We start from the raw sequence: 7,289 nt of genomic DNA on the forward strand, positions 1-7,289 counted from the left end.
GAGAGACTGTGACTGCTAATTTCTTTTTGGAGACAACCGAGGCAAAAAAAGAATAGCAAAGAATTTATTTTGGCAACAATTCTTGATCTTCTTTTTACAAAGAAAGTTAAAGCCATAATTCCCCCAGGTGCAAATGCTGTAGCCTGAAAAACCTTCCTTGAAACATATTAAACCAGAGCGTAGGTGAGTAAAGAGGAAATCCACCTGGGCTGTGTCAGATGGCCTTAGGTTTTCTCTTGTTTATGAGATGAGAAAACTGAGGATAGTTGCAGAAAAACATTTCTATTTCAAAAATCCAAATTTTGTGCGAACGTGGGAAATGTGTACTGCACATTATCTTTTTGGTAGATCCTGAAAGACATCAGCCTTTTTCTTTTTAATGTGCCTTGGGAGAATCCCTGGGGAGGGGGATGAGAGGGGTGCGGGGGCCTGGATTCCAGCCTTTGCCCTGCCGTGAAGCGGCTCCTTGAGGAAGCGGCTAATTACCTTGGGTCAATCAGTGGCTTTGTTGGGCTTTAGGACAGGGTGACTTGTAAATGACAATACTGCAGAACGTGTCACCTGGAAAAGGCAGGATTCTGCTGGGGAGAGCGCTCCCTGGGTCCAGGAGCACCTTCCAAGGGTGCTTTTTGAGTCCCAGATGCTTAGGAGGTACCTTCTTTCCTCCGGGCTTGCCACCTTCAGCCCCACTCAATTCTGTAAGTTGGAAGATGGAGTGTAAGGTTAAGCCCCCCTTAGCTAATCTGGCATGCCTTGGATGTAGTGAGCAGTGGCCTTCGCAAATCTCTGGGAGCCCGGCTGACGGCTCAGCCAAGTCAGCAGTGCCTGCCTCAGCTGGACGCTCAGGCCCAGTGCCTCGCGCTTTCCTGGAGGAAAAGCTGCTAGAATGTAGGGCTTCTCCCAGCTCCAGCAAGCATGGTTTAATTGGCATCCATCCCAGAATTCTACACATGGAACTAGAAAGTGAACCTGTATCATTCCAATAAGTGTACAACTCCCCTGGGCTTATTCATGTCCTTTATTAAAGAACTTGTATTTTCTAAATATGTGTGTTTTTCTAAGGCCCTTAGGAAGGTCCTTAGGATGGCCTTAGTCTACAGACATTCCAGAGATGGTTGGTGCATCTCTGTTCCTCTCTCTCTCTCTCCCTGTCTCTCTGCCTCTCTCCCCTCCTTTCCATCACCCCTCATTCATTCACCATTTATTAATCACCCACCACGAAAATAGAGAGCCTGGGTCCAGAAGGGAGAACAGGTTCGAGCAGGTGGTTTTTTGGACAGGTCCTTACTGAACACCCACATCTTCAAGGCTCCAGGCTGAATGCTGAGGCACAGCAGAGAGTTGGATCTTAGCCACAAGGACTAGCCCGGATTAACGAGGAGGTGCCCCTATAGTAAATGCTATAATCGCAAATTAATTTCATTCCAGAAATGTTTCCACAGTGGAGCACATCTGGCCAGAGGGAGATTAGCTGGGGTGGGTCCAAACAATAGGAAGTTGTCCCCAAAACTGAGTGAGAATGGCCCAGGAAGCAAGAAAAAAAAAAATCTCCATTCTGTACAATGTTAGAAAAGACAGCAGAACTCATTCTTCCCTTGGCGAGGTCAGAGTTTGCCTTGGAGCTCTGGGATCCTGGGGCGGTTCCCAATGACCCCTGAGCAGCCTATGCCACATTTTGCATGGGAGACCCAAGACCGGGGGGTGGAGGGACAAGTGGAGAGTGTTTCATCCAACTCTGCCTTTCTTTACATTTCTGGCTATGAAAGGCAATATGATACAGTTTATTCAGGTTAAGATTCAATATTCTTGGAGACTATTTTGTAAAAATTCAATACTGAGGGTAAGATTCCAACATTAAATAAGCAAAATATGACATAACAATATGATATATAATATATAACAAGCATCTAGGTGCTGTCTGGTGTGTGTGTGTGCATGTGCGTGTGTCTGCTGTGTGTGTCTGGTGTACATGTGTGTGTGTGTCCAGTATGTGTGTGTGTCTGGTGTGTCTGCTGCACATGTGTGTATGTGTGTGCATGTGTGTGTGTCTGGTGTGTGTGTGTCCAGTGTATGTGTGCCTGTGTGCATGTCTGGTGTGTGTGTGTGTGTGTGCATGTGTGTGCATCTGGTGTGTGTGTCTTCTGTACGTGTGTGTGCATGTGTGTGTGTCTGGTATGTGTGTGTGTCTGCCGTACGTGTGAGTGTGTTGCGTGTCTGGTGTGTGTGTCTGGTGTATGTATGTCTGTGTGTGTCTGGGGTACTTGTGTGTGTCTGGGGTACTTGTGTGTGTCTGGTGTGTGTGTCTTGTATGTGCGTGGGTTTGGTGTACGTGTGTGTATATGTGTGTGTCTGGTGTATGTGTGTCTGTGTGTGTGTGGTGTACATGTGTGTGTATATGCATGTTTGTGTCCATGAGAAAATACGTGATGGGAGGAGCAGATGGTGAGATGGAGGAAAAATCAACTGATCTCCACTCAAGACCCCGAGCTTTCACTTTGGTAAAGTCACTTAAGGTCTTTCAATGAAGAGATTGTTCTAGATTATTTCAAAGTTCTTTATATCCATCCCATTGAGTCTCAGAAGGTTTTGATTGTAAGATGCTTCATTTTTTAAGGTAACATTAAGAGAGGAAAAACACCGTCAAACTATTTTGTGTCTTTACTTGTGAGATATATTCTGATTTCAGAGACACCAAAATGTGAAATAATGTGTCTTAGCATTACTGCAATGTAATGTCTAGTATTTTATTATTTGATTTATGCATATGTGTGTATGTCTGTGCATATGTATATGCAATGTCTTACTCAGTTAGCAAGAGAGAGGGGCCTAGAAAGATACATAGATGATAGATCAATAGATAGATACAGAGAGATGGGTGGATGGATAGTTATACAGATACACAGATAGATACACAGATATAGATGATAGATAGATACACAGAGAGTTGGATGGATGCATAGATAAACAGATAGATTGATAAATACAGAGAGAGATGGATGGACAGATGGATGGACAGATATACAGATGCACTGATAGATAATAGATGGATGGATGAGTGGATGGGTGGATGGATGGTTGGATGGAGGGATGGATGGTTGGATGGATGGTTGGATAGATGGATGGATGGATGGATAGATAGATATACAGATACACTGATAGATAATAGATGGTTGGATGAGTGGATGGATGGATGGATGGATATACAGATACACTGATAGATAGATAATAGATGGATGGATACGTGGATGGATGGATGGAAAGATAGAAGGCTGGATATGGAGGATTCCTGTGGCACTTCTGGTGCCAACCTCATTAATTTCCAGCAGATGGTCTGTGTAAGGTCTGAAACCTGATCTTTCCAAATATCCTTTCATCAGCTAGAGACTCTAATCTGACCCATCTATGCTTCTCTAACCCATTAGTCATTGATATTTTTAATGCTGTTGTCTTATACACAGGCTAAACAAGTACTAAACTGTGTGAGTCATTGCAGGGCAACCTGTCTGTGACATTAGACAACTGTTAGGGAGCCGATTTATTACGGACAGAGCACTGTGTCCAGGTCTGGGGAGGCCAGGTCATGGAGAACCTGGAGTGGTCCCTGAAGAGCATGGACTCCAGTTTTTTCAAAATGGAAAGACTGTGCAGGTCCTGGCTGTCCAACATTATTCCAGGCTTAGCTCAGCATGGCCTCTCATAGGAGCTTTCTCTGATGCTCTCTTCCCTAAATTCATCTCTTCCTCCTCTATATTCTGGATCATTTTCTTTGACTTTTGTTATTTATTTCAAGATTACTACATACACCCTGCCTGACAGTAGAGATGGAAAAGCACTGTCTCATTGCTCTCCCATTGTACTAGCTGGCATCATGGACTTCACCTAACCCTCTTCACTTTCCCCTAGAGTTCAGCCTGGTGGTCTCCATACAGTGGGACCCAGGTGAAATAGCTGAACTTAAATACCTGGTAAAACAAAGTATAAAATAGTCTTTAACTTCTGATGGCTTAAAATTAAATTATGCAAGGAAAGGGGACACAGGAAAACCTTTAAGTAAGGCAATATTTGCTAATACTCTGAGTGGCCCAAGCAGCCTCCACCCTGGGATTTAGGAATAGGGAAAGATGGTGCCAGATGGAAAGTCATGCAGGGATTTGTGGATAGGGTGCATTTTCAGTGCAGTGACTACGCGTGGAGATCTTGAGGGTGTTTTATTCTCTTTGCCACTGCTAATCACTTTGTACTAGACCTCCTTATAAATAAGAATAGTTGATCAAACCATTCCCTGAACATGTTGGATACCCACCTTCACCAGTTGACTGTTGCGATGTGGCTTTGCTCCACACTTTTCGTAGCAGGGAATGAGCCAGAGAAGGAACTGGGATCTTGAAGAGAATTATGGTGACAGTCCTCAGACCCTCCCAGAGTAGTCCCGTAGCAGTGCAGCCGGCTTTGCTGCCTGAGGACACTGTGCACCCTGATGCCCAGGTCAGACTTGTGGTTACTCACCGTCCTAGAAATGGGCATCTGGGCTTGGTGCCTTGTCTGCCAAGTGGGTTCCAGCGGTTCCCACACATAGAGAATGTGGGAGAGAATGTTAATTTCAAGTGATGAGCTTGGAGTTATAGCTGTAAAGCAACAGTGGATTATTTTCAAATGACCCAAAGTTTATATGGTAAGAACTCAGTTATCTGGAGCTCTAGAGAATGAATCACTGGACGTAGCAGAGGCAGAGTTTAGTCCTTTATTCCTTGTTAAAAAACCTGAGCATACTAGATGGACATATTTCTGCTGAGTGTAGAAACCAGAGGACCAACCAGCCCCTTACCCTGGCATCCACCGCAGCAGGAAGCTTGGCCAGGGCTTTGAGGGATCCTCTGAGAGTACAGCGTAGAAACGTCATTGGTGCAAGACTGTGACCTGCCCTGCGTTTTGGGGACTGCTCCTTCACGATGCAAACCAGAGCCCAACAGCCACGCCAGCCACCACTGTGAGCTGTGGTTTGCCTCCTCCATGCATTCACTGTGCTCTTCTCTACTTGTTGGAACCATGGCCGTCACCAACCCACTGGTCTGCTTTCTTTCCACCGCGTCCCCCACCTTCTTGAACCACTCCATCAGCATACAGCTGCTAGAAAGATCTTTCACACTGAAGCCATACCATATCACGCTCTTTCTTCGGAATGTCATCTCTGAAATGACAGGTGTGCACCGTAGCTTGGTGTGCAAAATTCCAAGCCGTGCAGAGCCTGTGCCGCCCTGTGTTTGTGTACTTCACCCATGTCTCCAGGTGAGCTGTTTCTCCTCTCAGGGGCCTCCGCGCGGCGCTCCCTCCTCTGCCACGCTCCTCAGACACCCGCAGGCCACCCTGTACGTCACACTCACACGTGCCCACGTCGCTCAGTCCACGATGGGCGTCTCGAAGGCAGAGCTGGTGTCCTTTCTTCCTCCCCTCAATCCAAATCTTTTTATGGAGCCTCTAATTGTGCCAAGCACCATGGTGGGTACTGGCACCAGAGAGGTGACTTGGAAGACAGAGATGGCAGTGCCCACCAAGCATGTCCTTCCCTTCCCTTCCCAGGCCCTTCCCAGGGCGCTCCAGCCCATGAAACAGGGGTGAAAGGCAAGCGCGCTCACTCCCGGCTGAGGAAGTGAAGCCCAGCAAGGGTTCTCCGTTCTCTCTCTTCCCCCGAGGGGAATGCAGAGACCTGTGTCTCAGATGGTGCCACCCAAAGTGGCAGAGCCCGTGTCAGCGGTGGGACAGGGCCCTGCCGAACCACCCCGGGAGCACAGCGTGGGAAGAAATGCGCGCTTGACAAGCGAAGCCCCGTGTGTTCGCCCGTCTGATGGCAACAGCTGCGCGTCCTTCCGTCTTCCACTCTAGTGGGGGAGGCCAGGGTCAGAACATGCCTGAGAAAGCAGATAAACAAAGGAGACAGGGCCAGGGAGGTCCCACACGGAGAATGAAGTCAGGTGACTTGGCAGAAGGCAAGGGCAGGCCACGTTTGATGGCGCGGCCTGGGCAGCACAGCTGAGGACCCCGACTGCAGGGTGAGCCCTGAGTGATGAGAAGGAAGCCGCGCGGCCAGCCAGGGGCAGGGACATTCGTCAGAGAAGCACGAATGCGAAGGCCGAAAGGGAAGCAAGCCTGGGGAGCTGGAAACCTGAATAAGACCTGCGGGGCCACATGGAGGCGAGGGGAAGTCAGAAGCAGTGAGGGTGGAGCCCCGCGGAGCCTGTAAGTCCCTGTGAGGGCTCCGGACTTTGTGCCGTTCTCCGCACCCCTCAGGCCCGGTGGAGTGCGTGACCCCTACGCCGGGCCCGCATCATTTTGGCTCCACAGCTGCCTTTACTCCCAATTACTGCTTGATCCGGGTTGTGCTCTGGATCGATGAGATTGTCAGCAAGCTCCAGGCAGCCAAGGGGGCCCTGTGTCCGGGAGAGAATGCCTTGCCTGGCAGAAGATGGCTGAGAGGATCAGGTGAATCCTAAGTGGATGAGCGTTGGGCCAATCAGGGTTCATGCGCGAGCAGCCACAGTCCATCTGCTGCAGCCACGTCCTTGAGGAAACCCGTCAAATCAGGAGCAGCAGCTCTCCAGGCCCCTTCATTCCAGGACAGTCGGCAGAGAACTAGCAGAACCAGATATGCAGCTCCAGGAGGGAGACCTGACCCTTGCACGTGGGCTCCTGAGCTGCATAATTCCGAATTTGTGGTCCCTCTCTTGTATCATCAGGGATGGAGGTCCCAAGGCAGTGTGGCAATAAGGAGCTATGTTTCCGGCCCTCTCCTTTCAGCTTGGCTTGTGGGCGGAGCAGCCCTGGGGCTCCCTGGTGTGAGGGTGGCTCCGGGCTGCGCCTGCAGACAGGCTTTCTGGGTCCTTGCAGAAAGGGCACCGGTCCTTGCAGAAAGGGCCCAGCAGGCAGGGCACCGGTCCGGCGTAAGCTCACTCTCAGCTTTCAGTTAGATCGCAGCTCCTGGATTGAGCTGTATACCCAAACCCAGCTATATGCTCTTTACAAGCACATACAATAAAGTGACAGAAAGGGATCCAAAAAGTGTACTGGGTGCGTGCACGGAGGGAAGAGGAGACCACAGGGTTAACCTGAGGCTCGGAGGCAGCACAGCGAGAATCACTCAAGGACAGAGAGGATAATTACAGATTATAAAGGGCACCATTCACATCAGAGATATGTAATTGCTATAAACGTTTAAGTATTAAGTTATGCTGTCTTTAAATAGATAAATTAATGTTGGCGATTTAAGGGACGTACAGAAACTGAATGTGGTAGGA

General features: G+C 48.7%; 1 annotated feature.

The window, feature by feature from the left end:
- Positions 6,287–7,084: an enhancer, noted in NCBI's record as "H3K4me1 hESC enhancer chr7:155898353-155899150 (GRCh37/hg19 assembly coordinates)". NCBI's record gives its function as "activates a minimal SCP1, AML or CMV promoter by ChIP-STARR-seq in naive H9 embryonic stem cells {active_cell/tissue: H9 hESC(naive)}" and the evidence as "EXISTENCE:reporter gene assay evidence [ECO:0000049][PMID:30033119]".

Source organism: Homo sapiens, chromosome 7 (assembly GCF_000001405.40).
Source record: "Homo sapiens chromosome 7, GRCh38.p14 Primary Assembly".
In the NCBI taxonomy this organism is placed as follows: domain Eukaryota; kingdom Metazoa; phylum Chordata; class Mammalia; order Primates; family Hominidae; genus Homo; species Homo sapiens.